This window comes from Homo sapiens, chromosome 1, assembly GCF_000001405.40.
Source record: "Homo sapiens chromosome 1, GRCh38.p14 Primary Assembly".
NCBI classification, from domain to species: Eukaryota; Metazoa; Chordata; class Mammalia; order Primates; family Hominidae; genus Homo; species Homo sapiens.
In genome coordinates this window covers 117009722-117029225 of record NC_000001.11, presented here as the reverse complement: position 1 = coordinate 117029225, position 19504 = coordinate 117009722, and the positions used below count along the sequence as shown (strand labels likewise).

Here is a 19504-nt window from a genome sequence, read left to right as displayed (position 1 = left end):
CTTTCTTTCTTTTCTTTCTTTTCTTTCTTTCTTTCTTTCTTTCTTTCTTTCTTTCTTTCTTTCTTTCTTTCTTTCTTTCTTTCTTTCTTTCTTTCTGATGTTGGACTGTCAGTTGTATCTACTCTTCTATTAACCTACCTTCCTTCCTTCCTTCCTTTCTCTCTCTCTCTCTTTCTTTCTTTTCTTTCTGCTGGCTTTCTCCCCTCTAAAACATAAATGTGCTCAAATCTGTATCATCTTCAAACCAAAACAGCAAAAAAGCAAAACTAAAATACTTTCACTTTTTTTTGACAACTTTTGCCATTTTATTGTCTTCTCTCTTCCCCTTGACATCAAAGCTCTTGAAAGAGCAATCTGCATTGATGTGCCCACTCTCCCCTCAACTTGCTGCAGTCTGACTTCCCTGATAACTTTTCTGTAATTGTCCCATAATGTCAAATCCAATGGATACTTTCCCACTGTTATCTTAATCAACCTCTTTGCAAGAGCTGAGTCTGTCGACTCTCCTCACCCTCTTGATGCCCTCTCTGCCTTTAGTGTCTGTGGTACCACCAAATCCTGATTCCCTTCCCAGCTCTCCATCACTCCTATCAGTCTCCTTCACAGGCTCTCCACTCCCTGAGAAATGGCAATTTATCCCAGAGCTCCACCCTTGGGCATCATTACTGGCTACCTATGGATGACTTGTAATCTACAACTCTGGTGCAGATCCCATTTGGCAGTCTTGATGTCTATTGGACAGACCTTTATCAATAACTCACAGTTACTCTGAACTCAGTTCCAGCCCAACTTATTCAAAACTGAACTAATCTTCCCCTCCAAATCCCTCTCATATATTACCTTGCTTGGTAAATGACCCGACTATCCATCTAAGCTAGAGTCCAAATGTTAATCCTTAATTCTCTCCTTCTGCTCCTTTGCCCTCTATATACAATGAATCAGCCTCTAAATCCTGAAGATTACACCTCCTAATACCTAATGCCTGTTCTTTTCTTAGTCGTCATGGGTACCGCCTTAGCTCAGGCCTTCATCTTTCCCCAGTTGGGTTTCCACAATTTCATATACTACCTGCACTGTACTGTGGACCTCCCCTCCAATTCACTTATTTTATTTTATTTTATTTATTTATTTATTTATTTTGAGACAGAGTTTTGCTCTTGTTGCCCAGGCTGGAGTGCAATGGCGTGATCTCGGCTCACCGCAACCTTCCCCTCCTGGGTTCAAGCGATTCTCCTGCCTCAGCCTCCCGAGTAGCTGGGATTACAGGCATGGGCCACCATGCCCGGCTAATTTTTAGGATTTTTAGTACACACAGGGTTTCTCCATGTTGGTCAGGCTGGTCTCAAACTCCCAACGTCAGGTGACCCGCCCGCCTTGGCCTCCTAAAGTGCTGGGATTACAGGCACGAGCCACTGTGCCCGACCTCCAATTCATTTTAATGTGGGAACTTTCTAAAAGGAAAATCTGATCATGTCACTCCCCTGCTTAAACTTTTTCAATGACACTCCATCACTGTCATGATAAAGTTCTTCCTTCTTAGCTTCATACTCTAGACACATTTGGGATCTATCATCTGTTCCTTTCCCTCCTCACTGGTCTCATCTCTTGCCACTGTACCATAGAGACTGCAGTTCCTGCCATTCTCAATGACCAGGAGTTCCCCGAATATAACATGAAATTTTACATCTTATTATCATCTTGCATACTCTTTCATGTTCTTAAAATATGTTTCTTCCTTTTCATGAGCCCCAGACTCTGGGGAACCTTCCCAGATCATCTCCCTACCTAGCACTTCACCCCAGCCCTGCCTCTGTTGTTCCCCTAGTCTACTGGAAATACTTCTTTGATGACACCTGTTATGTTGGACTTGATTTCTCCCACTGGATTCCAAGCTCGGTGGGAACAGACTCTGTCATGTACACTTTTGTGGCCTCAGAACCTGATATAGTTATTTATTAAACAAGTGTCATTATTTTGTCACATAGATGTACACATGTAGGTATGTGTGTACCTGTGTGTATATGTATGTGCAGCGGGTTTGGAGGCATAAGGGGAAAAGGAGATTACATTTGCTGAGCACTGACAATGTGCCAAGCACTGTACTGGATACTTTATACATATTTATATTGTGATCTTCATTTTATAGAAAGCTGAGGCTCACAGCAAGTAACCAGCGTATGATTTCATAGCTGGTATTGGTAGTAGAGCTGTGATTTGAGCCTAGGCTGGTCAGATTCCAGCCCCTGGGATTTTTTATCACCCCACACTGCCTCCCTGACTACCAGGAAGGAACAGCCAGGTGGAGGAGCCCAGAAGGTACATTACAGGGATTTCCTTGGAAATCCTCAACATTAATTACCCTCAAAACCCTCAGTTTGTCATGACAAAGGTTTTCTGAAGAATACGAAGGCCACTCAATTTTTAATGTTTTCTTTCCAGGTTTATCTTTTAAAAACCGTATACCTGTTTTACAAGGATCTCACAAAGATTAACAATATGTATGCTATGAAGGATCCCATCTGCCTCAGAGAAGATACGCTTTTCATCACAGACTGTATACTTTTTACAGTTCTTATCTATTTATTCTACTGCAAAAACTGCCGATTCTACAGAGCCTATTAATTCCACTGGGAAAACATGTACGGAATGTGCTCATGAGTATGGGACTTCCTGTAATTGTTGGAAAGAAGAAAAAGGCTGATAGAAAAAACATTTTGGCCTGGCACTCAGGAGAAAACTTCTGCTGAGGAATGAACAGGGAAAAACAATGATGGACCACCTCAAGGAACAAATCGGATAGCTTCGACTTCCCCTCTGGAAGCCCTGCTGCGCTGGGATGCACCTATCCCTACTTCTTAGATGTTCCCATATGTTCTCAACAGCATTCTGTCCCTCCTAAGCAGTGTCACTAAAGCTAGCTGGTCTCTTAGGATTGTTACCTTTATTGATGATTTTCCCTTTGTGCTTCCTGGTGTCTGGCACCAAGACCACACCCCTACTTCTCCAATGGCCCTTTCCCTCAGTAAGCTTAGCTTATTGCTCACCTCCCACCTTCTCCCTGAACCCCAGCAGAAAGACATGGACCTGTCAGATGCTCCCGATATTTAAGTGTCTATGCCAAAATCTCATGTGGACCTTGTTTGTTCAAATGAGTTACTATTGAGAGAGACAGCAAAGTCATCTTCTTTAGGGAACCTGAAAATTGTCTTCAGTCTGAAAATTGTCTTCAGAAGGAGCAAAAGATAGGTGAGAGGGAGAGGATAAGAGGAGAGCCATGTATTCTCCTGACCATGAGCTCGCGGTAGATAAACCCCTGGTTACCTGAAGGCAGCACCGTGAGCACCATCCGCTGTGACTCATCGGATGCTTGATTAATCCACTTGCTTGGGTGTCCATGGAGCTGCCACTCTGCCACCCTACACCAGTACATTCCTGCATCCTCCATCTCCACCTGATGAAGCTTCAGGACAAAGTCTGTAGAGGATGAACGGTAACAGTGCAGGTGCCTCCTGAGCCCCTCTTCCCCATACTCCAGCAAGCCATCATGTTGCAAGTGCACCAGCAATTTACTTCCAGAGTTTTCTCTGTTCCAGTACCACATCACAGAGTACAGAGTGGCTGAGCTGCCTACACTCTCCAGGCTGCAGCGGATGGCCACTTCTCTGTGCTCAGTCACATTTTCGGTCCAGTACACTTTGGAGACACGTACCTTACTTCCTAGAAAATAAAATGGCAGTAAATTAGAGAATGCAGACTTTCAGATTTGGATACCACCTCTGAAAAATCTAGTTCTCACTGGGAAGATCTTATATTCTTTAGACATCAGTGCATTCATTTTATTTTTTTTATTATTTTTATTTTTTGAGACAGAGTCTTGCTCTGTCACCCAGGCCAGAGTGCAGTGGCATGATCTCAGCTCACTGCAACCACTGCCTCCTGGGTTCAAGCAATTCTCCTGCCTCAGCCTCCCAAGTGGCTGGGATTACAGGCGTGTGCCACCATGCCCAGCTGATTTTTGTATTTTTAGTAGAGACGGGGTTTCACCATGTTGGCCAGATTGCTCTTGAGCTCCTGGCTTCAAGTGATCTGCCCACCTCAGCCTCCCAAAGTGTTGGGATTACAGGCATGAGCCACCACGTCCAGCCACATTCATTTTAATTCTTGTCCTTGGTCCCTGTTTTTCTCTCACATTTGCCAGGACATTCTCTGCTAGGAATCAAACCAGCCTCTTTCCTTCTTTAGCCCAACTGCTTGCCTGCTGGACCCTGCCATTGAAAACTACACAGCTTCTGCAGGGCCCTCTGCCTGCTGCTTTTACTTACCCTTGATTCACTCCTCCTCTACTTCCCAAAGTGGTCATTCACAACTTTTAGCAGCTCCCTCAAGCCATGTATTCCACCAGTACCCCTCATTCTTAGCAAATTACTCTCCTCCCATACACCCAGATATTATCTTGGGTGTAAACGCAGAGAGAGAGGACGCCATCCAAGAGACTGAACATTTTGATGCAAGTGTTAGAAGGCCATCCATGGGAGCTATTTAGATGATTGGATTAGACTGAGTTTTAAAGAGATTTTGACATTTACTTTTTTTCCCCTTGCTAACCAGCAGGTGAGGATTTAGAATAACAGCCAAAGTAGTTACAAACAAAATAAAGAAATTATAGTGTGCATTACATTTTCAATTCCACTACAAACACATTTATTTATTTATTTATTTATTTATTTATTTTTATTTTATTTATTTTTTGAGACGGAGTCTCGCTCTGTCGCCCAGGCTAGAGTGCAGTGGCACAATCTTGGCTCACCGCAACCTCTGCCTCCCGGGTTCAAGCGATTATCCTGCCTCAGCCTCCCGAGCAGTTGGGATTACAGGCATGGGCCACCATGCCTGGCTAACTTTTTTATTTTTAGTAGAGACAGGGTTTCACCATGTTGGCCAGGCTGGTCTCGAACTCCTGACCTCAGGTGATCCGCCCACCTTGGCCTCCCAAAGTGCTGGGATTATAGGCATGAGCCACTGTGCCTGACTCAAACACATTTATTAATCTGTCTTTAAGAGAATAATTCTGTCTGATCTTGGACTCTTTCTTAGTTACCATTTTTACTCTCCCCTTTCCTTCATGGAGTAGCACGTGGAATATTAGCACATGGAATACTGTTGCTGTTTCCTTGTCTCAAATTACTTCCTACTTTATTGTGATCTGGCTTCCAATCCCATCACTTTACTTGGCCAGGGCCCAATTTCCCAGTTCAAGGGACCCTCTAGTCCTTTTCTGTCCTCTATGTGGTTTTTGTTACTGGAGTCCAATTTCTCCTTGAAATTGACTTCTTTTCTTCCAACCTCAGAGAAAATATCCCCCTTACAACTCTGACCAGTCATTCTCAGCATCTTTCTGGGGCCTCTTGGTTAACTTGTTCCCTAAATGACGTGCACAACCGGAAGTCCACAGCCACACCAAGCCCACAGGTATGTTCTGCTTGACACTTGCAGTATTTTAAGAGAACTGGGCTGGGCGCAGTGGCTCACGCCTGTAATCCCAGCACTTTGGGAGGCCAAGGCAGGTGGATCACCTGAGGTCAGGAGTTCAAGACCAGCCTGAGCAACATGGTAAAACCCTGTCTCTACTAAAATTACAAAAATTAGCCAGGCATGGTGGCACACACCTGTAGTCCCAGCTACTCTGGAGGCTGAGGCAGGAGAATTGCTTGAACCCAGGAGGAGGAGGTTGCAGTGAGCTAAGATCATACCACTGACTCCAGCCTGAGCAACAGAGCAAGACTCCGTCTAAAAAAAAAGAAAAAGAAGAAGTGAATTAGTTGTGGACATTCTCAAACTGGGAGATGTCACCAAAAAAGATTTTAGGCATCTCTAGATATGCAAAAAGATCTGACAACACGGAGCCCACATTTCTACATGGGAAGCACTTGAGCTAAGCAGTGGCTGCCTCCTGAAGACGGCCATGCACATGTGGTCAAGAGTTTGGTGTGGATGACTGGGAGACAGAATGCCAATCACACAGATGGGAAATGCAGAAGTGCAAATGAGCATGGTGAGATGGCAGAGATGCTAAGTGCAATTTAGGGCATGCTGAGTATGGGGGCATCCAAGTAGAAATGTACAGCAGGCAGTTGGGTATGAAGGCTTGGAGCTCAGGAGATCAGGGCTAAGCACAAAATCTCAGAGTTATCATCTAGAAGGTGGTAGTTGAAACCAGGGCAGTGTTTAAGAAATTCTGAGGAAAGCAGAGAATAAGAAGCAAAACAGGCCCAGGATCTATCCCTGAGGAACACACACATTTAGCAGGGAGAAGAAGGGGCTTGAAGAACATACAGAAGGGAAGCCAGAGGGCAGGAAGAGACCCCAAACCAAGCTGCTGTTCTGCCCTTGTTGTCCCACCAGACTGGGAGCTCCTTAAGGGCCAGGGCTGTGCCTTCTTTATCTTTGTATTCCACTGCCTAACACATAGTAATGCTCAATTATCATCTAATTTTTTTTTAGCGTTACCTTGAAAATAGTATTTCAAGCACCAAATTAGATCAACTTCTCTGCATTGTGCTGTAGGATCTTGGCCAGTTCCTGAACCTTGGCTGTGACATTCATTTAATTTTAATCAACACTGGAAGTGACCTAACCTATGCTGAGAGACCTAATCAACCCTGCCCACATTTAGACAGTGGCACTCTTAGACCAGTGCGGAACTTCCATTACATTTTTAAAGATCTCCTGAGGAAGAGGAGACTCCCTCAGTAAGCCATTCCAACAGTTAACTACTCTTATTTGCCTTATGTTTAGGCAGCTAAATGTTGAGAAGCAATTTCTCCACACATCCCCATAGAGTTGTACAGTTTCTGTTCACAGTGGGAGAAATATGCTTCGTATTACTCTTTCTCTGCCAAATTACAGTAGAGCCCCACTGGAATGACACAGCTTGTTATGATAGAGATCTGGAGATACGATACCCTGGGTAGCTGCACAGACCAGGCTGCCAGGTTGAGAAGCAAACCAATCAAAGGGATATTGCTCCTACCTCAGCTCCCCAAAACCTCAGATTGGATTGCCTTAAGTGACCTCCCCTCCTTTGGTGGACTACTCGGTCTTGCAGTCATGTGTAGGTAGATACTGTTCCTATGACTTTAGGTCATATTTTTACTTCCACATAATCACTCCATAGAACAGCTGCCCAAGAGAAAACAGCCGTCAGACAGACAGACATTGTGAGGATACACTCGCAAGGTTTACCTGTGGGCTTGAGTTTCAATTCTGTTAGTCCTGACTTCTTTTCTCCAAGCTTGTGCCAAGTGCCATTTGTAGACAGGAGCCATTCCTCCACAGCACAGTGATATTTGCCCCGATCGCTGTCTTCCACATTCAGAATGTGCAGCTGAAATAAGTCTTGGGAAACCTTCTCAGTATGAAATTTTTGTTTTCTCTGTGGGGTGTGAAACTCATCCCCAGTTTTTATAACATTGGTTTGGTCCATCTCCAGGATCTTTAGCCAAGAGGCATTAGTGGAAACAGGAGAAAAATACCAAATAATGGCTAACTGAAGGTTTCCATTGGACCGGGACAAGATGCTACATTCTATATCAGTGTTGGAGTTGATGGAGAGCTCTTGGACTTGACTCCTTGAATTCACTTTTAGCTTGCTCTCTAAATTTAAAAAAATGAAACAGTTACTTTGCTATGAAATAGAAAGTTAAGGTAGTAGAGACATTAGAGGTCAAGTATGACACTGCATCCTCCCGCCATCATATGGGTGAACTCCCTCTACAGTAGCCCCACTCACTGCTCATACAGCTTTTGAACAGCATCACTAGCTGACAAGGCAGCCCATTTCATCTCTGGACAGCTCTGCCCCTCCAGAATGCTTTCTGATATCAAGTTGAACTTTATCTCTTCATAACTTCCATCCACTAGTCCTAGTGCTACCTGTGCTTGGTAGGGGTGGTGTGGCAGAGGGAGTGTCACACAGACAAGCCCAGTATCTCTCTTCCACATGATACTGCTTCGGTATTTAAGCACAAGCATCTCTTCTGTCATATTTCATGTATCAGATTGGGAGAAAGTGGCCCTATTAATGCTGTGTTTGTGTGTTTACTATGCAGAGTACTTCTGGATTCACAATTTCCAAACTCTAGTTGTATCTGCCTTCAAACGTGGGTAAACAAAAGGAAGTTGTACATGAGTGATTAAAACTGTGTGTGTCTTTGCAGTCACTTAACTGTGGGAACATTGTATAGATATGGAGCCAACTAATCTTTGACCCCAGCAGCTTTTCTGCTTTGTCAGAAAGATGAGTGACAATCCTTGTTCCCAAATCTTCTTCTAGCATCTTGCTGACATCACCCACTCTACTTTTTTAACTGCTTATTGATGTTGCCCATAGGTCCCTTTACTCTTCCTTCAACAAATATTTATGAAGCACACACTATATTATGTGCCAGACAATTCCAGGCCCTGTGGATATCTTCCCTCAGTGGCTCACACTCTAGAGGGAGACAAGTGCAGGGACAGAGGCTTAGAGATGGTGCCAAGTGCCATTTGTAGACAAAGAGCCATTCTACCACAGCACAGTGATATTTGCCCTGATCACTGTCTTCCACATTTAGAATGTGCAGCTGAAATAACTCTTGAGAAACCTTTCTCAAGTGTGAGATTTTTGGTTGTTTTGTTTTGTTTGAGATGGAGTCTTGCTCTGTCGCCCAGGCTGGAGTGCAGTGGCATGATCTTGGCTCACTGCAACCTCCACTTCCTGTGCTCAAGCGATCCTTGTGCCTCAGCCTCCTGAGTAGCTGGGACTACAGGTGCACGCCACCATGCCTGGCTAATCTGTGCATTTTCAGTAGAGACGGGGTTTCACTATGTTGGCCAGGCTGGTCTCAAACTCCTGACTTCAGGTGATCTGCCCGCCTTGGCCTCCCAAAGTGTGGGATTACAGGTGTGAGCCACCACACCTGGCCTCAGTGTAAAATTTTTGTTCCTCATGTCCCTCATGTAAGACAGAGGTATATAGAAGTGCCTATCTGAGCACACAGCAGGGTCTCCTAGCCCAAATACAGGAGTGAGGGGAGACTTCCTGGAGGAGATAATTCTGAGCTGAGTCTTAAGGGTTTATAGGAATTATTCCGATGGAGAAGAGGTTAAGGATTGCCACACAAAAGATGCAACTAGATCAAAGACTTTGAGAGTGAGAGGGAACATGGACAATTGAGGAGCTGCCAGTAATTCAGTGTGGCTGAAGCTCAAATTCACGATGGAAAGTTGAAGGAGATGATGCTGGAAAGACACAAATGTACCAGATGATAAAGGACCTTGCATGTCACACTGTGGGAGTTTAGATACAAGGTGAACATAAGAGTTGTGATGACTCAGGTTTTCAACTTGGGTCACTGGTGAGGAGTGGGGACATAAGGGGCAATGCAGAAGAAAGAGCTTTGGATGATAATGGTGGGTTTATGTTTTGACATAATGAGTGCAGGCATGTCTTGGAGACAGCTGGATATACGAGTCTGGAGATCAGAAGAGAAATTGGTCAAGATAATGAATGTGGGAGTTGTGAACATACAGCTTGTATCCATGGGTAGGGACGAGTCCACTGCAGGAGAGCGTATAGAATGAAAAGAGAACAAAGCTAAGAATAGAATCCAGAGAAACTGTTTTCTTTAAAGAATAAATCAGTGGAGGAGAAAATGAAAATCTTGTGTCATGGTGCCAAGGAAAAAAGAAGTTTCAAGAAGACAGATTGGGGCAGCAATTGCAAATACCACAGAGAGGACAAATTAATTAAGCATGAATTCATGAACAAGGGGATCATTACTATTACCAAAAATGTTGCACAGCAGCAGAGAGAATAATGACAGTGACCACGTTTGAGCGTCATCTTGGTGTGTCAGGTACTCGGCATGTTATATATGTCACCATATTTAAATTGCACATTAACAATTTACAGATCAGGTAACTAAGGCTTCAGCAGATTAAGTGTCTCATCCAAAGCTGTTCTGCTATCCAGTGACTGTCAGATCTAAATGACTCCAACGTCTCTCCATCACTCTTCCTAAGAGAATGCAAACTATAAGAGAGAAGATACATGACACAGCAGAACTTTGCCTAGGTAGTATCTCACTTTTAACTCCTATGCTCTATTATCAGTTGATGAGATGGATTATATTTGATTGTAATAATAAATTCTCTGACTCTTATACATTAACACCTTACAAAGAAGTAGGTGGATGTATTCCAGTGGAATTTACCTTATCCCTACCACTAGCAGAGACACTGCAAATGTTTACTAACTGGTAAGGCCTGGACAGTGACTAATCCAAAACATTTCTTCTCCCCTCTAGCCAGGTCCTAGAGGCCCCCTGCTGTGCCACGTGGTACCCTTTAGTTGCTGGGTGGTGGGAACTTAGGGGAAAATGGGGAATGGGTAGAGAGCAGCAATTAGCCAGCATGGAAGGTATTTCAATGTTTTAACAACCAGTATGGCCAACCCATGCATACTAACTCAATGTTAACCTGGGTATCATTCATCATGTGGTGCTTACTTAGATAGAACAAATATGGGAGAAAGTATTTTATGTTTTATTGTTATAACTTACCCAAAATGGGAGGATTGCTATTTGTTTGTTTTTAAAACAGGGATTAATTTCAAGTCACACTTACCTGGTAAAGTGACGGCTATCCTCAGTGGGTGAGAGATGGCAGAAGCCCTCGGGGGGCGGTTGTTGTATAGGGAATTTCTGTCATAAACTTCTACTTCACACTGATACACTCCTGTCTCTTCCTCAGTGGCATCATGGACTAGGAGTTGTGAACGAAATAAAGACTGCGACACTTTCGTCTTCTTTTGGAACCGGGATAGGAAATTCCCCCATTCAATAGTGCCATTGTGGGTGATTCGAATAAGCTGGTGGAAGATGTGAGAGCTAGCTGGCTGGAACTGCCACGTCACAGTGAGTGGCACCTTGAGGTCAGAGTAACCGGCCCTCACGACACAGGACAGGTCAAAGGTGTTGGTTAACATCACTTGCGGCTGACGGCTCATCAGACTAACTTGTAAACTTGACTCTAGACAGAAAAATGAAACAGAATTTCTAATATATTTACCAGATTAAAATATAGCACTTTCAAGTTTTTCTAGTTGCCACCTCTTTGACTAGGACCATGCATTTGTACATTTGGAGTTTCCTATTTTATAGAGTAGAAATTGATTCCCAGTACAGTCTGTCCTGAACTGTGACCTCAATTTTGCAAAGTTGATCCTTTTCTAAGACTGTTCCCAGCAGCCACAACAAATAGGCAGTGTTTCTCCAATCTGCTACTTAGACAGCTGCTGCTGAGTGGGTGGAGCACTCCCCACCCTAGTCGTCTGGCCTCCTTCCCTTACCCCCATGCGTGGGTTCAGTATCAGAACCCTTTTGCACATGCTTCAATGGGCTCTGCAATCCCAGGGCCACAGCTGTCAAAAGCCAGAAGGTAAGAGGCTCAGCTATACTCGTCTATAAGCTGATCCATAGGATTTTGTTTTTAACCTTGAACAACAATTTACAAGTTGCACTCTAAAGATGATCTTTACAAAAATGAAGAATCTTTAAAGATTAATTGACAGAGAGGGTAGCCAGAGACTAGCTCTGTGTCCTAGGGTACACATACCATCACTGGGGGATTCAGGATAACACGCAATCCAGTTCCACTGCAGAATGAATTGAGTGATATACAGGTGCAGAAAAGGACTTCCTTTGACACTTACCCAGAGACTTTACAGTAACTGAAATCTTCTGAGTCCAGCTCAGATCTCTGGCCTGGTTCCGAGACTTCTCAGATACTCTGCACTCATATGTGCCACTGTCTGTGATGGCAGTGAAGGTGATCTCCAGCTGGAAGGTGGCCCAGTCCATTTTCTCCAGCCTTGTGTTGCCATGGTAACTGGGTACCCCATAGGAGGCACCCAGCTGCACAATGCCATCCTGCCCCATGCCAGCCACAAACTCGGGCTGTGTCTGGTCCCGTGGGATGTGCCACCAGCTCACAGACAGGGGACTTTCAGCTCCACCAGCCTTACAGAGAAAGGCGAGTGTCTCTCCTTCCCACACAACTTGCTGCTTGTTCTTGGTAGACATGACCACACTTCTTGCTGTGAGTTACAGATTATAGAAGAACAAAACTGTTTTAGGTAAATAAGAAATGTTCTAAAATACAGTGAAATTTCATTAATTAGGACTTGACTAGTTTGTGACAAGTCAAATTGGGCTGTTTCCTCTTGCACCACCCTCAGGCAAAAGATTTGCCAAACCTTAAATAGTGGAAACAAGATAGCAGAAAGAATATCGGAGGATGTATTCACCCTTAAACAATTTATTTATTTCTAAAGACTGGGTCTTGCTCTGTTGTGCAGGCTAGAACACAGCACTGTGATCTTAACTCACTGCAACCTCAAACTCCTTGGCTCAAGCAATTCTCCTGCCTCGTGCCTCAGTAGCTGGGACTACAGGCACGTGCCAACATGCTGGCTAATTTTTAAATTTTCTGTAGAGATACGGTCTCTCTTTGTTACCTAGGCTGGTGTTGAACTTCTGGCCTCAAGCGATCCTCCTGTCTCAGCCTCCCAAAGGGCTGGGATTACAGGCATGAGCCACTGCACCCAGCTTACTTAAACAATTTATCACTTGCACATATTTCTTATTTGTTTGTTAAATCAACTCTTCCTTAAGAATATCTAGTTGGCAAAACATCTGGTAATGTTTTAGTATATTAATTAGGGTAGATATAAGAGCCTGAAACTAATAAAGCTGTGTTTATTTAAATTTTTAGTTTTTTAGAATTCGGACCTTCAGAGTTCAAGACAATCTTCCTCTTTCTTATCTTTCCCTAATCAATCTGATTGGTTTAGTAAGTGTTTTGAATGAGGAAGAAACATCATTGTTAATTATATCTCTGTTCACAATATTACCATGAAAAACAATTACTTGGCGGGAAAATACGTGTATATATACATATACATTTTATATATATATATAAATAAATATATATATATATAAATGTGTGTCTGTTTACAACACACGTTGTTGTACAACAACGTGTACAACAAGGTGTACGACAACACACGTTGTTGTAAACAGAGAGGCTTCTTATGTCTAAACTACAGTGTAAAACCATAAATGTAAATCTGGCTCCCAGATGGGAAATTCAAGTCATCATTCAACAAACGCATTTATTCAACAAACATGAATTCTGCAAGGTCTTTCCTGGTTGCTTTGTGAGCAATGTAGAGATACAGCAGGAGATTGTACATTCTAGGCAGCCCAACACTAATTTAAGGCCACGGCTCCTGGAGTCAGAATTGCCCTGGGCAACATATTTGACCACAGTTTTCTTTTCTGTAAAAATGAAGATAATAATAGTGCTCACCTTGCTGCATTGTTGAGAAGACTGAACAAATGGCACATGAAGACTGAACAAAGAGCTTAGCCTGGATGGCTAGGGAAAGTACTTAGTAAAGGTTAGCTGCTAGCATTAGTGTTTAATGATAGGCTCTGGCAAAAGCAGAGGTAATTCAAAGCAAAAGAGGAAAATAAAATAGAACTGGCATTAGAAATCTAAATAGGATCTAAATGAATTTGCAAATTGTTCTTCCCTGCGGAGGAAGGAGTTCAATCTTTGACTGTTTTATGCATACATATACATAAGTAACAAAGAGAGAATGAGGGTTAATGTCCATAAATATGTTTTTAAAAAGAGCAAATCTGCTTTCAAATTTAGTTTTTTTCAAGTTAAAAATAGACTCATAACTGAAGTTTCAAAATTGGAGGGGAAATTCACCACTTTAACATAACCATGATGATTAGTTTAAACTAATGATTTTTTTTTTAAATGATGTTTCCTTAGTTCATTGTGGCCATTACTGCCTTTTGGTAAGAAGTAATAAACTTATGAAATGTGTGCAAGTTACACATTCACAATGGTAATGAGTGATTAAAATATTCATAAATGATAAAATGTTGCTAATACTTCAAGTAACGTTTGACTTTCAAAACAGAATGCTAAACAGGATCCTTAATAAATTTGCTAATAACTTTTTCTGTGTCTACATAGTAAGCCCAGTGTAGACTCCAGCCTATACAAAGAACTATTTTTAGTTTTAGAAGATGACCCTATTGATAGGATTATCAGCTGTGTACCCTGAAGTTCCCCTTCAGGTGAAATTCCCACATACCAGGTTTACAAAAGCCTGCAGATATGTTCCAGAGAAGGCTGAGATGCATAAAGCAGAAACTTATCTCTGCATAAATATGTGAACTCACCTATATTGTTTTTCCTTAATTCTAGAAAGTCAGACCAAATGTTTAGTGTGAAAACGAACACCAACACACTTCCTGGCCTGCCACTCAAGGCCAAATCGGTGCATCTTCATTCCTAGTAAATGGCATATTGGAGAACATGAAAGGAAAATTTATCTATCTTTGGAGATGTCTCCAATGAGCCAGTGCAACAAGGACACCTTTATTTTTAGCTCAGTTTTTAAAAATTTAAAACATTAAAAAAAATTTTTTTTGGGCAATTAATCTTTCTGGACTTTGAATTTAAACCCAGCCTAGTGAATCCTTATATTAGTTGCAGATATGTCTGTTTTTCTTCACAAAAGGCACTGATTATTCAAACATGTTTAAGGTCACCCAACCTTCATAAAGTAAAGGTGAGCTGAGTGGCTTCCTCAGTTCCGTGCATGCAGACATTCAGAACCATTTGGACCGGCGTCTCACCACATCACAGCAAAATGCAGAGGATGGAGTCTGCCCACTATCAATTACCTCTTCATTTCTTACTGTGAGTCAGAATTATGACTAAGTACTATTTCCCACACCAGGTCAACATAGTAGGAGACTAACAGAAGGCAACTGAAAAATGCCGGCAGGGTCTCAAGGTAGGATAACACGGGTGTTCATTCCTCAGGAAGGAGGACAAAGTGTAGCTTTTTACTCTTAACCTATTCATATCACACACACACACACACACACACACACACACACACACACACACAAAGGCAGAGGGCTTCATTAATACACATGTTCTCTGCTTTAAGAAATATCTAATACATAAAAATTAGAACAAAAAATAAATAGACTCTAAGATAGCAAGAAGGAACTTAAAGACCATCTAGTTGTGTGCCATCATTTTACAGATGAAGGAGCTGAGACTTAGAGACGTAAAGTGGTGTGTTCATGGTCACAGACTACTTAATGACTCAGGAATAGGACTCGGGTCTTCAGCTAGTTTGGGTGCCTTCCTTTACTCCACTCCACTCCACCTCCAATGTGATCTGATTGAAACCTGCTCTTCATGAAGATCCCCATTGTATCCACGAAGGGGTCTTCCACTGACAAGGGGGCATCTGAAAGCAGCCCAATGCATGCCTGGCCTTGACTTTACGTACCTGCTGGCTTCCTCAGGTGCACGTGGCTGTCTGGTGACTGCTTTCTCTGAAGCACCTGCCAGGAACCTGTGCGTGTTTTCATGACCTCTGCTACCACACATCTGTAGGCGCCTTCATCCTCTGGGCCCAGAGAGAAGATCTTGAGAGAGAAAGCCTTGGGGCCTAACTTTGAAACCTGGAGCTCTCCTTGACTTGCTCTCTCTTTGTAGTCATTCTTCAGGCCCAGGACTCCACCAGCATCAATGTGAGCAATTTCAGTCCCATTGAAGAACCAAATGCCTTGAAGCTGTGGGTCACGGCCACTGCTTACAACCAGGCAAACCAGTTCTAAGGGTTTCCCTTCAGCAAACAAGCTGTCAGCTGTAATGTTGACTTGAAAATCTTTCACTGGGAAACAAAAGCAAGGCAGGTATTTAGAGAGCCCACAGCCTCTGTCCTTTCAGTACCAGAGAGAGATGACACCCTCTGTAAGGATGTCACAGGGATCACATTTTATGTGGGAGTTCAATTCTATAGCGGTAGGTAAACCCAAAAAAAACAAAATCCTTAGAGTAAAAAACGCTCATGACTCTTCCTTAAATCACCCAGAAAGGACAGTACACATGGTTTTCTGAATGCACTCTTAGTAAGCAAGATGTATGCACAAATGTATGACACATATAGTAATGTATGCTTTTTAAATTAAAAAATAAAATATTGTATACTGAATTAAATATATATATTAAATATTTTACACTAAATTGCTGTAAATTGTGATTTCTTACTCTCTTTTTTGGCTAAGAATATCCAGCAGAATTTTCTGAAGTTAAAAAGCACATGTGATATCGCTCCATAGGACTCATGAGTATAACTTGGATACTTGAGGCCAACAGGACAATTTTTAGTGGAACACAATAATACTGTTTTTAATAAAGAAAAAACTTTAATGATCCACTATTGGATCATTGCTTTTAGCAATGCATATACAGTATATGGTTTAGCAACCACTTCCTGTTGGACAAAAGCCTATAGAGACCAGGAATCACAGACAAGGCCTTTATACTTGCTTTGACAAAAATGCCAAAAGATTATGAAAAGTAACAGCAGGCTGGGTGCGGTGGCTCACGCCTGAAATCCCAGCCCTTTGGGAGGCCAAGGCAGGAGGATTGCTTGAGCCCCGGAGTTCAAGGCCAGCCTGGGGAACATAGCAAGATCCTGTCCTTAAAAAAATTTAAAAATTAAAAAAATAATAAAAAAGCAAAGTCACTGCATTCCAAGTTGGGAAAGGGGGCAGGTGGAAGGAAACCCCAGCACTGACGAAGACAAGGCTTCATGTTGGAAACTGGAGCTACTTTGAGGCCCAGCTGTCTGTGCTGAGTGGGCTTTGGAGAGAGACAGGCCTCCCTTTGAATGCCAGCCCCACTCTCACCAGCTGGGTGGGCTTAGGCAGCGCATCTAGCATGTCTGAAGTTCAGAGTCCTCATTTTTAAAATGGAGACTCAACTACTTGCCTCATAGGGTGGTGGTTACGACTAAATTAGATAATGTAGATAATGTGTGAACAGAGACTGGCAAAAATGGTAACAAAACTACTTCCATGACTGGCTTGTGGAATCGATCTAGCCACTCAGTAGACCTTATCCCATAAAGAATCCGTGGGCAGAGCCAGAACTGAATGTGCTCCCTCTTAGTTATGCTTCTCAGATGACAAAAATACAAAATTAAATCAAACTTTCTAGCCAATTTTTTAGAGCCAACAAAAGATTAGAACAAAAATTAAAACATACCTCATAAATACCCACTACCTAATACTAGTGTATTAATGAATTTCGTAGGAAGATAATTACCTGCTGGCTGGATCCTCAGAGTGGTTTGATCGGTCTGCTTTTTGGTGATGAACATCCAAGTTTCATCTGGATCCTGAATCCATTCCGTTGCCTCACAGAACAGCTGACCCTGATCTGAGGACTGGAGCCTCTCTATGGACAGCCTGAATGTAGTGGGTCCCAGTTTGTTGAGCTGTACGTCACTGGCTGCAAACCGCTCTGTATACAAGGGCCCAGGGACCAATATAAAATCTTTGGAGAGAGAAATAATCTCAGTGGCTTGGCTTCCTCCTCCATCCTGTGTTAGGTACCAGGTGACAGAGAGGTGAGTATGTTGGGCTGTGGCTTTGGATGCCTCACAGGTGAGGGCTAATGGCTCACCTTCCTCCTTACCGAGAGTCTGAGAACTCATGGTGGCAGAGAGGGTATCTGGAATAACTGGAAACAAAGGAATGATAATAATGTGACTGGCCCAGTGCTTGTCCAGTGGGCCTCCTTAGATGGCGCCCTGAGCTACCCTATGTAAAGCACACAGACTTTGAGTTGGTTTTCCACTTGCCATATGCTTTCCTATCCATATGCTTTCTCTATTGCCATTGGGAACATTGGCATCTAGGTACAGTCTACGGAACTGGGCAAAGTAAATGCCTCATCAATGTGTTGACCCTCACTTTGCTTTATTAACATAGGCTATAACCAATTTAGCTACTCAGACACAAAGCATGTATTTAAAGGGAGAAAGCACTGGGACAGAGAAACCTTAGATTCTGATCCTAAATCCATCCCTACTACGTGGACTTGGGCATGTCACTTCACCTCCCTGGGCCTTAACCTGCTCCTCTATAAGGCTGTGTAATAATCTAATAATGTAATAATGGCTGTTAAAATGTATCATTTAGAGCCCAAATGCAATCTTTACTAAAGTTTTGGTAACCATCTTACTACCCTACCATTCTTGTTTTCCTAAAATGAAATCACACAGCCTAAGCTTATATGAAAGCAACACTTAGATTTAATCAATGAATGTGACTGAGCGTCTACTCGGTGCTAGCCACTGAGTAGAAGCTGAGGATGTGGTGGGAAAGAGGCATACAAATAGCCAATTACCATGTAACTGGATACATGCTGAGAGCAGTGGTATGAACAATCTAAAGGAAACAAAAGTGGGAATTCTGCCCAAGCAGTCAAGATGAGTTCCACAGAAGAGGTAATATCTAAACTGGGTCCTGAAGTATATGTAGGAGTTTGTTAAGCTGAAAAGGGGGTGATAGATATTCCAGACAAAGGGACAAAGTGACAATTGCAAGGACTATCACCCTTTCCCAATGTGTAAATATGCTAGAGAATGGTAGTTTGAGAATTATCATTTCTAAGTTAATGACTTATCACCTATGGTACCAGCTTTCTTGTCAAATTACTGTTCTGCCTGCAAGCAGAGACAACACAGGGAGAACTCTCACAGCTTTGTTGAATGCTGTTGCTACTAGCAACCTATGGAGAGCTGCGGACAAGGCCTTGGGAAAACCACACACCATCTAAATATTTATGGCAAAGATAATTGAGAAAAAGAAACAGATAATTTTAGAGAATATGAGATACCCACTTGTGACATATCTCCAAAATATCCACAGGGGTACATGGGCTCTTTTCCCAAAGAAAATGGAACAATATAAAGCCATGTCATATTGCAAGATATTGTCATGGTGGAGACTCTGGCTTCTCAGGGGCTGGCTAGCAGAAGTGGACAAGCAACTTACCAATTAGATTAGTCTTTGCACTGTAACTTCCATAGTATTTCTCATCAGTGTTTGGTGTGTGACACTCATACTCGCCAGCATCCTTCATCTGGAGTTTTGAGATGTGCAACAAGACTGAGTTGCCCTGGACCCTCTCCACGTAGACGTCTCCGCTTCGCACCCGCTGCGTATATACTGCGTAAGAGAAGGCAGCATCCTTGGTGCTAATGATCTGGACTTCCTGGGTCGGGTTTGTCGGCAGGTAAACAGACCACTGGAAATGCTGCTCAGAAGGTCCCTGGTGGCCAGTTACATTGCAGCCAATGCTGACTGGGTAACCTTCAGCTCTAAACAGTGGTCCTTTCTGAACTGTTACTTCTCTCTGGCCAATGCTGAGCTTAGCTTGTAAGTAGGAGAAAGAAAGGGGAATAAAAAGAGATTAGTGTTCCAGTTCCCAGTGTACCACGTTATGTATTTCCCTGTATTACAATTCTGGTAAATGAGATCGCAAGTTATTAGCTATAATTGAC

The 19504-nt window shown here is 42.8% G+C and overlaps 1 protein-coding gene and 2 long non-coding RNA genes across 8 annotated transcripts in view, besides 1 other annotated feature; 2 read left to right on the top strand and 1 right to left on the bottom strand.

The window, feature by feature from the left end:
* The window catches only part of CD101-AS1 (CD101 antisense RNA 1), a 34009-nt gene extending 30265 nt beyond the window's left edge, over positions 1-3744 (top strand). Inside the window, exon 4 of the long non-coding RNA NR_110786.1 lies at positions 2440-3744. This is a non-coding gene — a long non-coding RNA (CD101 antisense RNA 1). The remainder of the gene's footprint in view (positions 1-2439) is intronic.
* Positions 1-19504, bottom strand: part of CD101 (CD101 molecule) — a 34793-nt gene that overhangs the window by 7327 nt on the left and 7962 nt on the right. For 4 of the 6 annotated variants that reach the window (XM_047434715.1, NM_004258.6, NM_001256106.3 and 1 more), the window contains exons 2-8: positions 18996-19376; positions 17260-17676; positions 15434-15820; positions 11753-12136; positions 10666-11070; positions 7243-7653; positions 3322-3717 (exon numbers count right to left, since the gene is read on the bottom strand). In XM_047434715.1, the coding sequence (XP_047290671.1) occupies positions 3322-3717; positions 7243-7653; positions 10666-11070; positions 11753-12136; positions 15434-15820; positions 17260-17676; positions 18996-19376 (2781 nt within the window). Of the gene's footprint in view, positions 1-3321; positions 3718-7242; positions 7654-9965; positions 10073-10665; positions 11071-11752; positions 12137-15433; positions 15821-17259; positions 17677-18995; positions 19377-19504 lie in introns of those variants that run through there. The other 2 variants (NM_001256111.3, XM_047434718.1) reach the window with 2 other exon arrangements.
* Positions 7225-11133, top strand: LOC124904386 (uncharacterized). Its single transcript, XR_007066499.1, has 2 exons — positions 7225-10114; positions 10792-11133. It is a non-coding gene; the product is annotated as an uncharacterized LOC124904386 (long non-coding RNA).
* Positions 10395-11594: an enhancer, noted in NCBI's record as "BRD4-independent group 4 enhancer chr1:117560254-117561453 (GRCh37/hg19 assembly coordinates)". NCBI's record gives its function as "activates an origin of replication core promoter dependent on BRD2, P300/CBP, MED14 and CDK7 cofactors, and independent of BRD4, by STARR-seq in HCT116 cells {active_cell/tissue: HCT116}" and the evidence as "EXISTENCE:reporter gene assay evidence [ECO:0000049][PMID:35650434]".